General features: G+C 37.0%; 1 long non-coding RNA gene across 1 annotated transcript; it reads left to right on the forward strand.

The window, feature by feature from the left end:
• Nucleotides 1–840: 840 nt before the first annotated feature.
• LINC01795 (long intergenic non-protein coding RNA 1795) lies at nucleotides 841–21,512 on the forward strand. Its single transcript, NR_147010.1, has 3 exons — nucleotides 841–1,146; nucleotides 18,653–19,008; nucleotides 21,362–21,512. It is a non-coding gene; the product is annotated as a long intergenic non-protein coding RNA 1795 (long non-coding RNA).
• Nucleotides 21,513–21,563: the final 51 nt, after the last annotated feature.

Genomic DNA, 21,563 nt, shown 5'->3' on the forward strand with positions numbered 1-21,563 from the left:
AGATTCCTCCCTTATCAGCCAACCAAAGTGTTTTTGGCAGTAGACTGGGATATCACATACAGTATACAGATATCTCTACCTGCTGGGAAAATCCATCCTTGGCTATAGAAAGCAGAAGTACACTACCCTCAGCCCCAGACATGTGCCTTTATTGCCCTTGTGTTTGGTCTTGGGTGTGGCTGGCCCATGCTGGTTCCTTATCCAGGAGGTAGGCATTGTTGGCCAACAAGTTGGCCTTAGTTGGCATATCATCATCACTACCTAAGTCAGGCTGAATGGTTAAGGCATTCTAGCCAGCTTATCAAGAAGGGACCTGAGTCATGGGAAATGACATCATAGTGAGAGACAGGACTAGCTGGATTTCCTAGGCCGACTAAGAATCCCTAAGCCTAGCTGGGAAGGTGACCGCTTCCACCTTTAAACATGGGGCTTGCAACTTAGCTCACACCCGACCAATCAGATAGTAAAGAGAGCTCACTAAAATGCTAATTAGGCAAAAACAGGAGGTAAAGAAATAGCCAATCATCTATTGCCTGAGAGCACAGCAGGAGGGACAATGATCAGCATATAAACCCAGGCATCTGAGCCAGCAACAGCTACGCTCTTTGGGTCCCCTCCCTTTGTATGGGAGCTCTGTCTTCACTCTATTAAATCTTGCAGCTGCACTCTCTTTTGGTCTACATTTGTCATGGTTCGAGCTGAGCTTTCTCTCGCCGTCCACCACTGCTGTTTGCCGCTGTCGCAGACCTGCTGCTGACTTCCATCCGTCCAGATCCGGCAAGGTGTCTGCTGTGCTCCTGATCCAGCGAGGCGCCCATTACAGCTCCCAGTCGGGCTAAAGGCTTGCCACTGTTCCCACACGGCTAAGTGTCCGGGTTCGTCCTAATCAAGCTGAACACTAGTCACTGGGTTCCACGGTTCTCTTCCATGACCCACGGCTTCTAATAGAGCTATAACACTCACTGCATGGCCCAAGATTCCATTCCTTGGAATCCGTGAGGCCAAGAACCCCAGGTCAGAGAACACGAGGCTTGCCACCATCTTGGAAGCAGCCCGCCGCCATTTTGGAAGTGGCCCACCACCATCTTGGGAGCTCTGGGAGCAAGGACCACCTGGTAACAATAGGCCAAATACTGTGCTGATAAGGTATGAAAGCCAATCCTCTCATTGCTACCTTAGACATTATATGCTGTCTATTCATGAGTGGAGGTTGGAGAAGTATAAAGGCAAAAAAAAAAAAAAAAAGGAGCAGAAATATATCTAGAGTGCTTAGAGGTGACTTCATCAAACAGTACTCTCAACTTTCAACATGCACATTAACTGGGGATTCAACTTTTAATGTGCACATGATTCTGATTCAATACATCTGATGAGATGCCTGGGATTCTATGTTTTCAAAAAGCTCCCAGGGGATGTGACTGTTTCTGCCCCAAGAACACACTTTTAGCAGCCAGGGTTTAAATGATATTTTAGCACTAACACGGAGGAAAATAAAGTAACCCCCCCACCCCCAAGCAGCTAGGGCAGAAACTGATCAAGAGAGACACAGGATGCTATGCAAAGCCCAGATCTGACCTCCAGGTTTGGACACAAGTCATCTAATAAAGGATGTGGATGGCAGTGACCAATTAATGTGTACTGGACCTGGTTACTTGAAGGATCCCACCATGGTGGACTTCATGTTTCTTAGGTGCCTTTAATTTTTTGGATCCCCAAACACAGTAATTCCAGGACAGCTTGAAGCATATACATTTGTAAACATAGATATAAAGCAAAATTTCCATGGATCAGCAGGCTCTTTAGCTGTGATTTTGCTTTGGAATATAAAGACTTTTCCTAGTGTTTAATGCAATAAAGAAATATTTATAGTAAGAAAATTGAATCTACTTAATTTTTGAAAGTTTAATTTTATAAGGTATACATTATAATGAGTATTTTTGTGTGTGACAGAGCCTAGAAGCATTGTATTTGGATCAGCACTTAAATTTTAAAATAAAATACAAACTCTACACTAATATAGATTTTGCCTTCTGTAAAGTATGTTCAAAGTAAAAGTTGAAAAAAAAATGTAGAGAAAGAGAAATAAGAACTAGAGAGTATATAATATAAAGTGAAGCAGACAAGGCAAACTAAAAGAAGGATTTTTACGGGGAAAAACAATTTCATTTTATTGTAAAGCCCTAAATGAATAAAAGAAGACTTTGAATGTGAAGATGATTAAAAAGACAAAATCATTAGCTAAAGATATTTACAAGTTTAGACTCTTTCATTTTGATTGTAATTTTAATTAGCTGGACACAGGGGGAGAAGAAAATGAGAGCCTACATCATCTACTTACTCTTTAAATTGCATTCCACCTTAATTTTCTGCCTTTCAGTTCTTAATTTTCTCTATTTTTGTTCTAAGTAATCCAGTTATCAGGCTAAAGTGATTTTTTTCTCAGCCAGGTTTAGCATTCAGTATTTGTGTCTATGAACAAGAAAAAGTTCACCCCATTGCTTTAGTTTTTATTCTTTCAATAGCAAAAACTCTCTACAGGTAACTTTTTTCAGTCTTTTGTTTATTCAGCAAGGGGCTTCATATACCATGACAGTTAGATGACTAATAACAAAGGCTCCTATTTTCAAAATAATTATGCTCTATTTACAGAGTTTTCCACAAAATTTACTCATAAAATTTAGAAGGCAGTAAAGCCTTAAAAAGCTGTAGTTTTACTATTCATTAAAGCCATTTTTCTGTGTACAAGCAAGTTGCTTGTTTCTTTATATGATAAAATGGAAGCCAAAAATTCAGTATTAGTTAATCAAGTTCGGGATTTGTGTATACGTGAATAAAAATTTTCAAACTTACATTGAACACCTCTGTTTAGAATAACCTACTTTCCAAAGAGTTTATCTTCAAGATATTATCTGGCTTTTTAGTACGGCTATTTATTTTGCATTTGTTAAAGAAAACAAGGCTGGGTGCGGTGGTGGGTGCCTGTAATCCCAGCTACTAGAGAGGCTGAAGCAGGAGAACCGCTTGAACCCAGGAGGTGGAGATTGCAGTGAGCCGAGATCGTGTCACTGCACTCCAGCCTGGGTGACAGAGCAAGACTCATTCTGAAAGGAAAGGGAAGCAAAGGAGAGGGGAGGGGAGGGGAGGGGAGGGAATAAAATTAGCATAGCTAACCATGTATTGTGTGTTGTTCAGTTTGTCCCCTCTTCCAAAACATATTCACTCAAATAATGTAAAGGAACAACGCTGAAGCGTCTTGAGGTCTAAGGATGAAACGCACTATTTAAGTGGTGGTGACAATTATTATTATTATCCTGCCATAGATAAAAAGTTAAAATTGGCTTTTAAAACTATTGTGGACAATTTCATTTTGCTTCCCCATAAGTCAGAAACAATCAAAGTACGTAGTTCTCAGCACATGAGCTATACACTCAAACTAGAACTAGTAGGGAGTATAAAAGGAATTATCCTAGTAATTAAATACCCACAAATAAAGCATTAGTTGCCGATCGTAGCCAACCAGGATGGTTATTAAGGGACAGCTAGAAAACTCAGCTCTACCTCATTAGTTGTCTTCTGTCTAAAATTCCAAAATATATTTGTATTTTTTAAAAAGCCTTTCTCACCTTAAAGTACAAATGTTCCTTGAGAGACATGATGCTTTGAAGCTTATAATTGTTGCATGATTTTATTTTATTTTATTTTACTTTATTTACTTATTTATTTCGAGACGGACTCTTACTCTGTCGCCCAGGCTGGAGTGCAGTGGTGCAATCTCAGCTCACTGCAACCTCCATCCACCTCATGGGTTCAAGCGATTCTCCTGCCTCAGCCTCCCGAGTAGCTGGAGTTACAAGTGCGTGCCACCATGCCTAATTTTTGTATTACTAGTAGTGGCAGGGTTTTGTCATGTTCGCCAGGCTGGTCTTGAACTTCTGACCTCAAATGATCTGCCCAATTCGGCCTCCCAAACTGCTGGAATTACAGGCATGAGCCACCATACCTGGCTAGTTGCATGATTTTAATGAGTATGAGCTCCACATATTTTCTAGACAAAGAGTTTGAGAACAAGGTAGAATAACAGAGAGGAACTAAGAAGTTGAGAGAGAATTAGAGGGGGTTGCAAGGGTGAAAAATCTGCAGAAAATGAAATACAGGAGCAAAAGAGACAAAGTTCCTAATCGTGTCCAAGAATGTGATGAGAATTAACATTAAAATTATTAGAAAGTGTCAACAAGAAATGCCATAAAATCCCTTTCTTTGGAAGTCTTTCAAAATCGAATAGTTGGGTCTTTCCAGCATGGTTTAGATGTACCACTGAATATAAGGTGATGACATTAATTGTCCTGTCTAGGATTAATCTCTCTCTGAAATGCATCATACCTGAAAGATCTTTTCTTTAATGCAATATTGGGATGTTGTACCAATTTGTTTATAATTTGGATATGCTGAAGCAGCACTGAGATTTTATTCCAATATTTCTTATCTTGCTACTCTTGTCCATTTTGCCTAACAGTTATTGCTCAATGTTCAGACTCTTGCTTCAAGATCAACTGAAGTGCTTTGTAAGTATATGGATTCTTGAGGCCCCATCCTTTTTGGGGGGTCAAATAACCCAATTTGTGAATCCTCAGAGGCCTGCTAAGATGAGGGAGGGACATGTTTTCGGAGTTAGAGAGTCAAACAGAGAGTGGCAAGGCAGAGTATTCTCCAACAAGATGATATTACTGTCATCTGGTGGGGGTCCCCACCAGGTACATTTCTCAACCTGGGTTGGGTGTGTACCCTCCAACTCTGTAGCACCCCCCCCCCCACTCTAGTTACAACACTTAGGAACACTGCATTGTATTTTATTGTTTAGTTGGGTAGCGCTTCTTAGCTCTCATATTAATAGAGGGCCATGTGTTTCTTGTTTACTTTTAAGTCTCCAGAATCTAGTACTGTTTCTGAAACATGGCAAGTGCTCAAATAATATGTGTTGAATAAAAGAATAAATCAATGAATAAATAAAGAAGTGCTGGTCGAGTAAATTAAAAAGACACACAAAAAAGGAAAAAGAATGTATGTATCTTGCCAGCAAAATGAAACAGAAAAACAATATCAGTAACTAACAATTATTAAATTCTTATTATGTGTCAGGAGTTCTAAGTACTTTAAATGTCATATTTAATTAATACAACTGTATAAGTGGAATCCTATTATTATTGGATTTTTCAGAATAAAGGAAGGTCCAGTTACTTGCCCACAGCCACACATCTAGTAAGACAGGACTAGAACTGAAACCAAGGCAGCTGGACTCTTGAACCCATGCTCTAAGCTATTACTCCATGTAATGTAGACAGTGATAAAGGTACTGTGCTAGGAGTGGTGGAGGATGCTAAGAATCAGCTCCTGCTTTCAAGGGGGCTTACAATAATTAACAATACATGTTTATCTGAATAATTGGCTCTCCCTTTTTCTTTGCAATTTAAGAGAAGACAGAAAGAAAACAGGGAGGCAAGGATGAAGGAAGGAAGAAAAGAAGGAAATAAGGAAGGAAGGGAAAAGGAAGGAAGGAAGGGAAGGAAGGAAGGAAGAAAAGAAGGAATGATGGAAGGAAGGTACGGAGGGTAGGATAGGGAAACAGCCCTAGTTCTTCAACAGGTTTTTGATCCAATTTACGCCTGTTTGATTCTGTTCCAGACAAGGAACAGTGAACAAAAAACTCTCAAGCTAGCACTTAAACCCACAAAAACTTTTCACCATCCTTTGAATATTAAAAAAATCCATCTTCTAACACAAAGAAATGATAAATGTTTGAGATGATGGATATGCCAGCTACCCAGATCTGATCACTGTACATTATATGTATCGAAACATCACTATGCACCCTAAGAATATATAGAATTATTATTTGTCAGTTTAAGACAGTATTTTTAATGGAGAATTTGTCTCTATTAGAAAAAGGAATCTGTCCTTTGTTAATAACTTGAAAGAAAAAAAATTTGCTGCCAAAAAACCCAACACCTACTTTATATGGGTATAATATATTTAAATTTATATGTATGTATAATATATATTTCATTTTTTCCTAGACTAATCTTACACTACAAATTTCAACATTACCACCATAGCATTTACATGTATTCTAAAACTATCCAGTGATGTGGCATAAAATAGCTAAGTCATTTTTACTGAGGATCATAAAATCTTAGAAGAATTTAGTTTGAAATCTCTAAACAAAAATTGCAAAAGTTAATATAAGGTAGAAAAAGAGAAATAAATTTTGACTTATTAGAGAAAAGGGTTCAGGTGCAGGATGAAGCATATCAAAGGCACATGAAATGTCGTTACTTTGAAAAAAAATACAAGGATGACAAGTTTAGAAAATTAACTATCAAATTACATTTCTTTTAAGAGGGGCAGTTAAAATGTTGATGAACAAATATAAGATGATTACTCAGGGGCACTAAAAATACAAAATGCGTGGGTTCTACTAGATAATACAATAAGTACTGGGAGTTTCACTTTATAACCCGTTGTGATTAAACAGCATACTGCTGAAAATGCAGATGTGATGCTACCATAGTAAAACCAGCCTTTTAAAAGATGTTTCTAATTAAATCATGAAAAATCAAAAAGAAAATGTTGAGAGAAGCCATTTTGAAGATTTTATTAGTGGTGCATTCATGGAGAGGGCTTTATTAGATTTGAACTAGCAAATGCTAATGCTAGTGTACAAAATGATAGATAAGCATTTTTCCCCTTAAAAAGTTATTTCTTCCAGGGTAAAAAGTTTTCTTGTAATATAAGCATCCTTTGATTCAGTTAAATTCTAGTAATGAGGTACTCGACTATTTGAGTTAATAATACTTTAATTAATCCATACCTGTATGTGATCTAGATGTGTTTATTGTTGCTATTTCTCACTCGGAATTTTACTGCTAAATAGAGGACTCCTTTTAATATTCAAATAGCTTTTATCAGGAGTCCAGAAGTCATTGGCTTTACTCGATATTAATACCAAAACATCAGGTGTAAATTGATCCATTGTAGAAGCTCTTGTTAAATGCTTTCTAGTCAGAGCACAGTGGCTCACACTGTAATCCCAACAATTTGGGAGGTTGAGGTAGGAGGACTGATTGAGCCCAGGAGCTTGAAACCAGCCTGGGCAACAAACACAGTGGGACCCTGACTCCATGTGCATCTTTAGTTCCAGCTACTCTGGAGGCTGAAGTGGGAGGATCACTTGAGCCTGGGAGATGGAGGCTGCAGTGAGCCGTGGTCTTGCCACTGCACTCCAGCCTGAGAGATAGAGTGAGACTTTGTCTCTAAATAAATAAATAAAATGATTTCTAAGGAAACCCAGGGAAGACCTAAATTAAGATTAACCCATGAAATGTATGACTAATTCCAGAAGATGAAACGTAGATTTCTTGTTTTGAACACTATTATCTCCTCATTCACCTGGCTAATTACTAACTATCCTTCAAAACTTAGCTCAAAATTCACCATAGTTGGGAACCTTTTCCTAATTCCTTCCTCTTTTGGCTTCTAGATGCTCCCCTATCAACTTGTGGATATCTTGCTCTTTGCAGAATGATAGTCTCTTACCTGCAATTATAAAATCTAAAAACTCTAAAAACCAGAAGCCTTTTTCTTTGGTGCAAATTTATTTGGGGGTAAAACTTGACCCATAAATTTATTTGCAGAAATAGTAAAATGTTTGTTTGATTATGACAGTGCTTCCCCAGACCATACAAATAGGTTAGCATAATATATGGCATATGCACGCTATAGTTCACCCTTGGTATCCTTGGGGGATTGGTTCCAGGAACCCCTACATAAAAATCCTCAGAAGCTCAAGTTCCTTATATACAATGGCACAGCATTTGCAGATGACCAATACACACCATCCCATATACTTTAAATCATCTATAAATTATTTAAAATACCTAATACAATGTGAATGTTCTGTAAATAGTTGTTACACTTTTTGGAAATTTGTGTTATTTTTTATTGTTGTATCATTATTACTATTTTGCCAAATATTTCTAATCACGGTTGAATCCGCAGATGCGGAACCCACAGATCCAGAGGACCAATCGTAGTATTTTTTAAAAATGCTCTCAGATTTTAGAGGTTCCATTGAGGCTTGGGACCTCAATGCCATCTCACAATACTTAAATTGCACCCTACCAGCTCCATTTCCCATTTGGATTCCATGACTCTTCAACATCTTACCATTTTCTTTAATTTTCTTACCCAAATGAACTTGCCTTCTATTTTGCAGAAAATATAAAGCTATGAGGTTTGAGATCCCAACCAATTAATTGGCCATCCCCTGCCCTCATGAACACTAGTTGATCTATACCTGCCATTCATTCTTACTTGCTTTTCTCAAGTCTCAGAGGTGTAGGGGGGGAAAGTAACATATTTTTCTCACCCATCACAAGAGTCATGGTTCAGGCATCTATAATAAAAGACAGACTGAGAAGCAAAAAGCTTCCAAATGTATTTAATATAAATTTTATGCAACTCACAAGCTTTTGGAAATAAAGACCTAAAGAAACAAAAAACAATGCGATATAGTTTGGCTGTGTCCCCACCCAAATCTCATCTTGAATCGTAGTTCACATAATCCCCATGTGTAGTGGGAGGGACCCAATGGGACATAATTGAATGATGGGAGTAGTTACCCCCATGCTGCTGTTCTCATTATAGTGAGTGAGTTATCACAAGATCTGACGGTTTTATAAGGGGCTTTTCCCCCTTTTCCTCAACACTTCTCCTTCGTGCCACCATGTGAAGAAAGACGAGTTTGTATCCCCTTCTGCCATAATTGTATGTTTTCTTAGGCCACCCCAGCCATGCTGAACTGTGAGTCAATTAAACCTCTGTCTTTTATAAATTATCCAGTCTTGGGTATGTCTTTATTAAGAGCATGAAAATGGCCTAATACACTATCTATTTTATGTTTAGATTTGATTAAGAGTGGACAACACTATAGAATTATGATTGGACAAAAGGAAGTATGATCTAATGGTAATAAACCAGGGGGAACTTAGCAAGGCCTGTTTGTACAAATTCTTCTTTGTATCTCTGTGTCTTCATTCTTTCCTCTGGGTATAGGGAGGATCCCTCTGGAATGAATGTCTTATGACCTACTTTAAAGGATGGTCAGAGAATTATTTTATAGTCTGCTTCAGGGGAGAGCCACAGGGGAAGGTCAGAAAGACCTTCCTGCTTCTACTCTTTTCTCAAGTGCCAGGGTGCCAAATGTGGGGATAGTGTGTCCTGAACCCTGTCAAAGGTTAAAGTCTACTTCCCCAGTTTAAAACCTACATTTCCTATTCTTTAGATCTTAATACTTACTGTTTACTCCAAAATTGTACTCTTTTGTTATTTCCATGCTTTATTTTCTCTTATATGTTTTTATTGTCCTATAAATATGTTCAACTGTCTCCAAGTCTTAAATTACACCCCCCCCCAACCAATTCCACATCCTATGCTCTCTCCTACTTACGTCTCCCACTCTCCTGTATTGCTTTATCAAAAGCTGCTTTTAAAGAGGACATAATTCTTGCTTCCTCTATGACTTTCTAATACTCAAACTTCCTGCAATTAGGTTCTGCAGGGACTAGTGTTGGAAAAAATTACCAATGATGTCCAGATAATCAAGTCCAATGGTCATGTTTGTTCCATATCTAAATGAATCCCCCTATGCCATTTAACACTATTGACATTTTCTTGAAACTCTCTACCCTTTGGTTGACATTTTACTGTTATTTCATTCTCTCCCACCTCTGTTCTTTCCTTTTTCATTTCTTTGGGATTATTTCTTCTTGCCTGTCTCTTTCATACTGATGCCCCACAAAGTTCCAGTTTTTACTCACAGTTATTTATTTTTTTCTTTTATAAATTCTTTGTGTAAATGTGTGGCAATCTCATCATTTTCATGACTTTAATTCTTACTTATAATGCTAATGACCTCAATAAATGTATCTTCAATCCTAATCTATTCCCTCTCCTTTATATTTATAAAAGCAACTGCCTATCAAACATACTTCTTTAGATGTCTTATAATCACAACATATGTAACATGTCCTAAACTGAACTCAACTCCCACCCCCACCCCCATATTTCTTATTTATTCCTGCCACATCTATAGCAATGATGCTATATCCAAAACACAATCTAATTTTGTTATGCCTCTGCTTAACCCTTCCTGGCTCTTCATTCATTACCTAAAATCAGAACTTCTTAACTGGTATATCATGAGACCCTCCTTGATCTGCACTTCCTTACCAATTTCCCTGGTCTCATCTCCAGCCACTCCGAGCCTCATGGTTTAAACATTAGGAACTCTAAGCTGCTTATAGTTTTCCATGTTCTCTGTGCTGTTTTATGATCTGCACACTTGTTCATGCTTTTTCTACAGCCTGAAATGCTATTCCAACTTTTCTTACTCTGTATAGTTCTTATTAACCTTTCAAAATCCCAGACATTATTTCATCTAGGAAACAACTTTTATTGACCAGTGATTCTGAGAATAGGAAAAGCCAAAGCGGTTTACTTCCAAAGGCAAAATATGCAAGCCTAGTGTTGGGTGATTTTTATTTTATATTTTTATTTATTTTGTTTGAGACAGAGTCTCATTCTGTTGCCCAGGCTGCAGTGCAGTGGCACGATCTCAGCTCACTGCAACCTCCGTCTCCCAGGTTCAAGTGATTCTCTTGCCTCAGCCTCCCAAGAAGCTGGGATTACAGATGCCTGGCACCACGCCTGGCTAATTTTTATGTTTTTAGTAGAGATGGGGTTTCACCACGTTGGCCAGGCTGGTCTCAAACTCCTGACTTCAAGTGATCCACCTGCCTAGGCCTCCCAAAGTGCTGGGATTACAGGCGTGAGCCATCGCACCCAGGCCAATATTTTAAATATCCTCAATGCTCCTTTGTGGGTATTTCAGAAGCACGCAATGATTATTGAGGGTTCATTCAAGAACAGCTGTTGCAAAAGCAGTATTTTATTCTTCAATACTATTATGATAATATATTTGCATACCTAGCTCTTTCTAGGTTTTGTTTCCATTTCCTTACATCTTTCACTTGGGAACAAAAATGTCTAGGTGTGAAGTAGATTAACTGTGCACCAGTTACCAAGTAGTCTGAGTCCAGTGAGACAGAACACCTCCACACATAAGTTACATGAAGTGGGTTTATTAGTTATAAATAGGTAGCAAGGGACAACAGAAGCCTTGGGTTCATTACCAGTCATTCCCTCAAGGCTCAGGAAAGCTGCCTGTGGAGCGTGGAGTCTCAGCTGCAGGTGTCCCACTTGTGCCACAGATGAGGGACGCCAGAAAGCATCTAGCCTTGGGTTTTGTACCTCAGGAACATGTGACACACTGGGCTAAAGCACTGAAGGACATCCTGTCTTCAGGACTGGACTGCAATAGAGCTTGGGCTATTCTGGTGAATCCTTTCCTATCCTAGGATGTTGCATTTCCAGATCATTCTACAGTTATTCTTGAGAACTACAAGAAAGAAAGGGGGAAGAACTTGGTTGGTATAAGGCTACTTGGAGAACTGTTCTACACTAGGCCAAAAGTTTGTTTTTATGTCTTTCTCTTTTTATATACATATAGCTAAATTATTTCCAGAGTTGTACAAATCTATAATACCACAAGCAGAGTTTGACTGCATTTTCCCCAACACTGAGTATTTTTATTAACATTTTCTTTTGCTCTTGTTAATGCTTAATAGTGAAACAGAGCAGAGTATTTTTGTGTTAATTTGGATAATTTGCATACTCATGATGCTGTTCATTTTCCCATATATTTTTTATTAGTGATAGTTCTTTGTTTTGCCATCATATTTTAATTTTCATGAGTTCTTCTTGTTCTCTGAATTACCCTCCTTTTTAAATAGCATTCTGTTTATACCTTATGGTTACAGTATTTTCTGAAATATTTGTAAGGTATTATTGAGATTTTTTTTCTTTATTTTCTTTAGCTTGAACCCTATACTTCTTTGATGGTCATTTCTTTCTACTTGTACTTCTTGATCATTCTCTTTCATAATACATGCTTCACTCAATTCCAAGTGATTCCTTCTTATCCATCGATGTTTCAGAATGTGACAATAAAAATAAGTGACTGTGTGCTGTGTACATGAGCAGTTTATCCACTGGCATGCTTTGCTTTAGGGTGAGTAGGGTGAGTAGGGTGGAGGGTGAGTAGGGTGAGTAGGGTGGAAGGTGAGTAGGGTGAAAGCCAGCCATCATGCTGGGAGGCCCTAAAGCAACAAAAGAAGACTTTGCTCTGGAACAGCCTTATCACACTCCTGAATTCTTCCCAGAGAAGTGGTTCATTTTCTTTGGAAAAGGAAACACTGATTTTGTTTTCTTTTTAACTTGGGAAATAAAAGCTTGACTTCTGAGGATTCTGCTTGCATGCGTATGTGTATGAAGGAGAGGGTGAGATGGGGGTGGAGAGAGACAACAGTGACTGAATTCCATGTACACTCTGTCTATGAACCCCTGTCTTTAGAGTCCCATGTGTCATTCATGGGGTTTTGGAGGCCAGCTTCTCTCTGGGGCTCAGTAGGGCAGATCAGTCAGCCTGTTCTGTACTTTCTAGGTTCAGGCTCCCCCTTTGCTCTTTCATCAGTAACCACTCTTTCACTCACTCTCTATTTTGCAAAAATTGGTTGAAATTTCTCATCCACTATCTCTTTATTATGATGATATTTACCTGGATTTTCCTTCTGGAAAATTGTTGCCCGCATAATGTGCTTTTTTTTTTCCCCTCAAATTAAGATGTTTGTAGTTTTAATTCATTGGCTTTTTAAAACTAAGGAATTAACACATTTAAGTTCATATGTGATACAAATATTTTTGTCATCTTTTTACTTTGGTTTATTTTGATGTAAAGAAAGTTTTAAATTTCATGTAGTCATCTCTCAGTCTTTCCTACACATATTTTTCTTCTATTGAATGTATATTTGGAAAATTCTACTTATTTCAGATATTTGCTTCTGGTAAATTATGTGTTCCTTTGGATTTTCAGTGTTTTATTTTTAATAATAAATATTTAATCCGTCTAAATGTATTTTGGTATATGGCAAATTTTCAAGCCTTTTTGTTTTCTTTTTAGTAGAAAAATTTTTTTTCAAACAGAATCTTAGATGGAAGTTTAATTTATAAAAATTGGAAAGTTGGCTAGGCACAGTGGCCTGTAATCCCAGCACTCTGGGAGTCTGAGGCAGGAGGATTGCTTCAGCCCAAGAGCTCGAAACCAATCTGGGCAACATCGTAAGACCTCCCTTTTTAAAAAAAATTAAAAATCACAGGAGTACGGTGGCACATGCCTTTAGTACCAGCTACTCGGGAGGCTGAAGTGGGAGGTCACTTGAGCCCTGGAGGTCAAGGCTGCAGTGAGCCATAATCACACTACCGCACTCCACTCCAGCCTGGGTGACAGATTGAGACCCTGTCTCAAAAAAAAAAAAAAAAAAAAAAAAAAAAAAAGGGAAAGTGGAATGGTCTAAGTGAATTTGTGTGAGAATGCAAATTCAATCAGCCCATCTGTTTCTTTCAACCATGGTCCTATATTTGAAGTATCTTTAGTTTTTCAAAAGTAAATTTAAAAACAGTGGTTGGTATATGGTATAAAGTAAAAGTCAAAATTGATCCTATTCCTAAATTGCCAACCAATTATCTAAACACTAATTATTGGTAAGCCCTTTTTTCCTGATTGAGTTGGAAAATGCCTTTTATATATTAATTTACTACCCATGATAGATTCTATTTTAGGGATATCTTTCCATTCCATTGACCCCTCTGTCTACTTTTATACCAGAATTCTACTGTTTTAATTAGTATAGAGTTATGTGTTTCCATTTGTAGTAAGGCTGTGTGTTATTCTACTTGCATTGCTCTAAACAAATATCCGAGGCTGGGTAATTTATTAGGAAAAGAAGTTTATTTTTGCTCATGGTTTTACAGGCTGTACAAAAAGCATGGTGCTGGCATCTATTCCTGGCAATGCCTCAGGAAGCTTACAATCATGGTGGAAGGTGAAGGGGGAGTGGGCATTACACATGGCATGAGCAGGAGCAAGTGAGGTAATGGGGAAGTCTCAGAGTCTTTTAAACAACCAGATCTCACGTGAGCACATAGAGGGAGAACTCACTCATTACTGTGAGGATGGCACCGAGTTATTCATGAGGGATCTTTCCCCATGACTCAGATACCTCTCATGAGGCCCCACCTTCAATACTGGGGATTACATTTCAACACATTTGGAGGAGACAAACACACACTATATCAAGCCGATTCCCTTTCTTTCTTCCTCTTTCTTTCTTCCTTTCTTTCTTTCTTTTTTCTTTCTTTCTTTCTTTCTTTGTTTTCCTTCTTTCTTTCCTTCTTTCTTTCTCTCCTTCCTTCCTTTCTTCCTTCCTTCCTTCCCTCTTTCTTTCAAATCATCATAACTTATATTTTCAAAGAATGGTCCTAGTTTCCTGGTTTGCTCTACCTTATCTAGTCAGGTGCACAGGGAAAGTCAGGTCACCTACACAAAATGTGGTCAACCCATACAATCTTAGGGGTATTGATATTTTAATTCTGTAGTTAATTTTAGAACCATTTTTACTGATTTCCCTATATTACAGCATTTGACTCATTTGTCTTTCAAAGACTAGTAAACCTTAATTTGCTTTAGCAGCTCTGAATGGATTTTTATTGTTTCTTACCACTGGCTTTCAACTCATGTAATTTGAAAACTAAATGCAAACTGTAAAACTCAATCAATCTGGTAGTATTCTTTTAATATCAATTTTTATATAATTAGCCTCCAAACTGTGTTCAATTACTAACAATTAATCTTATGCACTTTCAGGGACAACACTAATTTCACACTTAGCAGCATTTAAAAGAAAGGTAGTGCGAATACCATAGGGAAAAAGTCCCTCCCCAAGGAGTTATGCTTTATTATCACTGACTAGAGAATAAAAGTGCTTTCCCATTGCAGTCTACTGTAGGGGCCCACATTTTCTTTAACTGTAGACCAGGAGAATTATGTAACAAACACACAAGCAAAATCACACATACTTTAATTACAGTTTTCAGTGAGACCACTAGCCTTTTAAAAATGATCCTGAATGTTCTATGTTCTTTTGACAATTTTCTCGAGTTAGTATTTTTATCAATGCTGTATGGTTAATTGCCCCATTAAGGCTGACTGTGAGAAACCAAACAATGGAACCATGATGGGACAAAGAATGAGAACAACAACAGCTGAAGGTAGAAAATTGTAGAAAACTTCTTATCATACAAGAAATGCTGTTAGAAATCAAGAAATTCCCCAAACAGAACGTAGTCAGTGCTTAATACATTTTATAATACGGAATAGCTTTTTAAATACATATTACCGACTTTTTTCTTTTAATAGTGCCAATTTCCAATTGACAAATTACACTATATCTTAATACTGACATCTATATGTAACTCCCTTAATATTTGCTATCTAAAGATCATATCATGTGTGAATCATATGGAAGTAATTTTTTAAAATATCACTTTAGTTTCTTTTAATAATTCAAGGTCAACTACAATGAATAAACCAAGGTTTAAACTATTTCCTAGTGTCAAAAATATAATGAATACATGTTGGATTATGTGACTGGTATTTAGCAAAAGGTGCACACATGTCTGTTTACTTTGGTGTTTCATGATTTTGACCTTTTAGGTGCTTCTTGTTAGTAATTGGTTGAAGAGGAGTTGTAGCCAATTTTAATGTTTGTAATTCATACTTAGATATGCAAATTGATGAGCACATTATAAATTTTTAAAATTATCGGAACAATTTATAGTGCAAAGTGGCATTGCTCCAGGGGCTGAGCAGCGGCCTGGGAACTCAGAGCTGTGCATTTTAATTTTGATTAACTCTCAGTGTGACCACAGGCAAGTGCCTTAATCTCCCTGTATCTTGGATTATTCATCTATAATATGAATGTAACAATTTTCTTGCTGTAGCTAAAGTGAGGAATAACTATGAAGCATAGAGTGGCTTAAAACTAAAGAGCACTTTATATATCACACAAAAGACCAATATGAGGCTAAAGATTTTATGGGTTTAATAAACATAAGTGTTATGTCATTCACACAAAGATAAGACAAATGGCCCAACATGAAAACTATGGAAATCACCATATCTCAATCTAGAAATTTTATTAAAATGTACTTAGCATAAGAAATAAACATTTGTAATGGTGTCAGACTTATGTGGACATTCATTATTAAATAAACTTTATTCCTTATGCTGTTTTCTTCAATGCTATATACATCTTTCAAAAGTATAATAATGAGTTTTAAAATGCTTTACTAGATACAGTCTTTAAAAGAAATCTTTCTTTTTCTCTCCCTAACAATAAGTAGGTTTCCATTAGGCATTTTAACTTTACACCAGGAAAACAAAAATTATACAAAGGCATTCAGCTTAAAGTAAGACGTTAGAAAACAACACTCAAATTCACAGTAATTCATAGCAAGGGGTAAATCTGTATTTTTAAACTCACCTAGTTGTTCCACCTGTTAAATAATATACTGTATCCTGAGAGCCACAGATACATAGGTGCAACTGGTGAGTTGATGATGGAATTTGAGTCTCTTTACTTTTCCATATATTGAAACATCAATCTTTTTAGCTTAATAAATAGTTCTGCAACGCTGAATTTCAGCAGGGAGGCCATTCTCCAGTTGTGTAGGAATACAATTTGGGTTCTAGTGTCTTCCCAAGCCTCCCTTGCATTGGGAAGCCAATATTTAGAAAGCTGTAGCAAACTAACACCTGTTAGACATAAATCACATGCAGAAATCTACAACTGGACAAGCTCAGGAAGATGTAATAGATCAAATCCATGAAGAACCTCACAACGAATTAGGAAAATCTTAAACTTAATCCTATAACCTGACAGGCAGTCAGCAGACTGACTTATGGAGAGCTGTAATGTGGGAATTAGAATGAATGCCAGATGGCTTCTAGAAGTCAAATTTGAGAGAGAAAAAAAAAGAATAAACTGCATTTGACGATAAGCACAGGGAGGGAGGCTGACAAGGAAAATGCGGTCACAAAATAACACACAAGGATGAACTAATATTTTACACTGTATTCTCTTTCTTTTGTCTCTCCCAGCCAGCTTGACAGAAAGTAGTAATGTTTGACTAGTCACAAGCTTAATACCAGATGCCAGTTTGAACAGGTGCAAAAACAAAGAACAGAACACTTCCATTTGGAACATCAGCTCTTTATGTAGTCCCTGATATGTTTTGTGGGAATTCACCTACCAAGTTTCTTGTTGCTATTTCCCTGATTGGCAGAAGTTCTATTTGATGAATACATAGCATATTCTGTTAGTCAATGGAAACAATGAAATAGGGGGAATGACCAATTCATCTGGGACTTAGTCTAATTCCAACAGTCCACCATCATGAGATGATATCAGTGCTGGAATTTTAAGATCACCTGGGTAGAAGAAAATGTGCCTGTTACCTGTTACAATTACCACACAATTGTAAAGCGTTACAACATTCTTTTACTTGTGAAAGATAGTGGAAATTGGCACTGCCAATTATCAGTGTTAAATGTATGACCAATCAGTATGAAGGCCACAAACAAACCAGCAGCTTGTTCCATAGAGTCAGTTGGTAAATTGGATGCAGGAAGACAGAGGAACACACTATCCCTCCTCTGTAGGTGGTCTCTGTTTCATTAGGTTTCCAATTGATGTTGCTGCACAGTAATCCAAAAATGTGTGATGGGAACATCACTCTCATTTTTCATTAACACCCCCTCGCAAATGTATTGGAGGCAGGTACAAAACAATGATTTTGCCAGCCTTACTTTTATCCTTTTGGAGACTATTTCTTATCCAACATCGCTGCTGGATGCTTTGTTTCTCCTTGTTTAGAATCACCGTAGTGACTCAATACTGTTTGATATGATCAGCTTCCTTTAGGATGCTGTGGAAAGAGTGAGAGAGCTGCTAATCTTTAAAAGACAAGTGATTTAGGAAAATCAGCTTATATATAATAATGGATATTGACATGACTACAAGATAGGTGAGAAAACTAAAAATAGAGATGATGCCTATTGTTTCAGGAAATCTACCAGCAATGTATAACGCATGGAATTTTTGAGAGATCTTAGAGATCATCCTGACTGAATTCCTCATTTTCATTTTATAAATGGGGGAATTGTGGCTCATACTGGCTCTAGCTTTCACAAAGCAAAGCAATTACTGGCAAAAGCTAAGTCTGGAAAGCACAATCTATGACTTGTGCTCTATTCAGTATACCATGTTCAGTCTATAATATGTGGATGCAGATAACTACAAGAACTACACATCTACAATACAATGTGTGAAGATAACTACAATTCACATCTTCTGCTTCCTTAAGCCTGTATCATAGCATTTATTAATACAGTTTCATCAAGTTATTATCTAAAATATTCTTCAATTTGTAGTTTTTGGAGAAATCATTCAGCATTATGCTATAAGTAGCAGTGTTAATTTCCTGGTAGAAAGTGTTACACTTTTTAGGTCGATTTCCTGAGACATTAGGCTCATCTGTTTTTCTTTGTATTACCTAACTTCAGTTCCTGTGTTATTATTAGCTTGAAAGCCTGCCCTGAATCCTCATCTATTGATGGAGATGGTGTCATCTTGCCTTGATTGTATCCAGAAGCTTCATCCCCAAGATAAAGGATGGACATCTCTCCGATGACCAGCTTCTTTTGCTCGACTCTAGAGAAGGTTGCTTTCTGCATTCTGGCAACTGCCCTCTGTCTACATGATTAGACTCGTTGGTTGCAGTGCTTTCTGGAGTAATGAAGGGATCCAGTGCACAGGGTTTAACTTACTGGGCACAATCTCTAAGCCAACTCTGCCTGAATGGGTCCCCTGTTTTTTCTCTTCTGCTCTTGTTGAACCATATCTCTGTTCCTTGTGCTCCTGGGAATTTCTTGCTCTGGTAAGTGGAGAATCACCATGCCTCAGTCATAGGCAACCTGCACCCAGAATGTTGAATCATGACATTTTTTTTTGCTCAGGATTATTTATCTAGCTACTTTGATAACTAATGTAATCATTCCAGAATATGAATCTCAAGAAAAAGAATGACTGATTTCAAACTATTTAAAATTATTCAGAATACTTGATATTTTATATGTACAAATACAGAATAGTTTATAGATATATAAACAGTTTGCTAAAATTTTCCTGTCGGTCTTATATTTATTTCTTTACCGCAAATGCTAGGAGTAAATTTATTCTATTCATTGTGATTCATCTTTGTTCTATTTTAAGAGCATTGAGCCCTCATCACCAAAAAGAGAGTTCTTAGAGGTAATGTTAACAGATACAGAAAAAATAGGTAGCAGGTTTTGGTTGTGTTTTCTTATTGTTGCTAAAAGTCCTGTGATTAACCATATCCTGTTTCTTACAGTAAGGGTAAATAAGAACATGCTAACCAAATAATCAAAACAAATGGTAAGTATACTAAGTGCATTACGGTGCTGCCAGACATATGTTAATTTCATTTGTAACGTTCATCTGTCTTCTTAAAGTTGCTTGCAAAGTTATCAGCAAAAATATAAAAAACTAAATTATTAGTCAATTGAGGAACTTAAAAATAAAAAATGTAATAGCCACTCAGTTTCTTTGGAAAAGTGTTTCCTTGATTCCTATCAATACAAATATTGTTTTTATGATATGATTAATGGAATGATTTAAAGATGGCTCTTTGTAATGCCACTTTGTTTAATGACATGTATGTATATTTTTAAATGTACCTTAATGAATTATATATATATATCAATTTTTTAAGGATAATGTTCAAATAATGTTACTTTGCTTATACTCTTTGCTTGAGTAAAAGGATTTATTGTGCACAGAGTGTGCATGGTGTGGATTAAACCTTCTGCTCTTATTAGAGGATTTCTCTATCAGGGCTGTATCTTTTATGAAACCTTAACATCCCCAGGCTCAGAGTCACTTGGGAGGCAGTCAGGTCTAAAATAGGTGTTTTTGAAAATGTAATTCCATATTGACTATGATATTAAAACTAACGAAAACTCAACTGAGAAAATGAATTTGGAGTTTAAATATTCAAATAGTGGAATTTGGGGCACAGCTATGTTGCCACAAAAACACAAAACATAGGATTTGCCATAAATGATTTATGTCCTTTGTGGCAATAACAAAATAAGAAAGAAAATATATTTACATAATGAAAAGTTAGAGAATCAGTTAGCACCTGTAAAGCTGCAAGTAACAGAAAACTCAACTCAGGAATGTCCAACTGAGAAAGAGGATTGATTCTTCAAGCAAGGAAAATAAAGGGGTAGGGCAAACTTCAGGGCCACTTGATCCAGAGACTTCAGCTTGCCTCGAGTGCTTTTCTACCTCTCTAGTTAGTTCTTGTGGGTTCCAGGAAGGGCTCTACCCCATGACTGCTTCCCACTGTGGTGAGATGATGCTTCCAGCTTCAGTGGGATTCCATGCTTCTTCAATTCATGGGAGAAAAAGTTTTCAAGCAAATCTACAGGTCTCTCCTAGAACTGGGATTAGGGTCAACTTTCCCTAAAATTATGGATTATATAACGAAGGGGTATGTAAGGATTATGTAGGGAAGGATTATGCAGATATATAACACCTCCCCACCCACAAACACAATTTCATGTTTATTTTTCTTTTAGATTCAGAGGGTACATGTGCAAGTTTGTTCAATGGATATAGAGTGTAATTGTGAGATTTGGGCTTCTAGTGTACCCATCACCCACATAGTCAATATTGAGGGTAACTTTTAACTCTCATCCTCCCCTCACCATCCCCCATCTTGGAGTCCCCAGTGTTTGTTATTTCCATCATTATGTCCATGTGTACCCGTTGTTTATCTCCCAGTTATAAGTGAAAATGTGTGGTAACAAACTCTTATTTCTGAATGAATGGGGGAATCTGATAGGTAATCAGTATTAGTGCATTATAGAATTAGACAGAATTTTCAAGTTAGATTTCACATGTACCAATGAGATGTATTAGCCCAGTGCCCATCATTTTAGTTAGGAAAATTATCAGGGAACCTAAAACCTTAAATCTTAGTATATGAAAGGAATTCTATTACAGTAATAATAATAAGAGATGTGTAAACTGAACCTTATAAAACAAGAAATGTTGGGAAAATATAGAGTCATACATTTATTAACAATAATATTAAGGAAAGGTATATTAAATACTTTCTATTTCTTACTGGCATCACTTTAAATTTTCACATCCAATAACTCATGTCAGTGTTTTTTTTTTTTTCTTTCTTTCTTTCTTTTTAGGTCATGAAAAAAATGGAAACTCTCTCAAGGAATAACAATCAGAGCTGTCTGGTTGACAAGGGACATTATGGTTGCAAGAAGACCCTGAAGCAAGGATTCTACATCAAAGATTCAGGGGCAATCTGAGTTTGCATTTAAGATCCTTCTGCCTATAGCAGTAGCTTATATGTTATGTTCAATTGACGTATAAGCACTGTGAAGA

Source organism: Homo sapiens, chromosome 2 (genome assembly GCF_000001405.40).
Source record: "Homo sapiens chromosome 2, GRCh38.p14 Primary Assembly".
Classification (NCBI taxonomy): domain Eukaryota; kingdom Metazoa; phylum Chordata; class Mammalia; order Primates; family Hominidae; genus Homo; species Homo sapiens.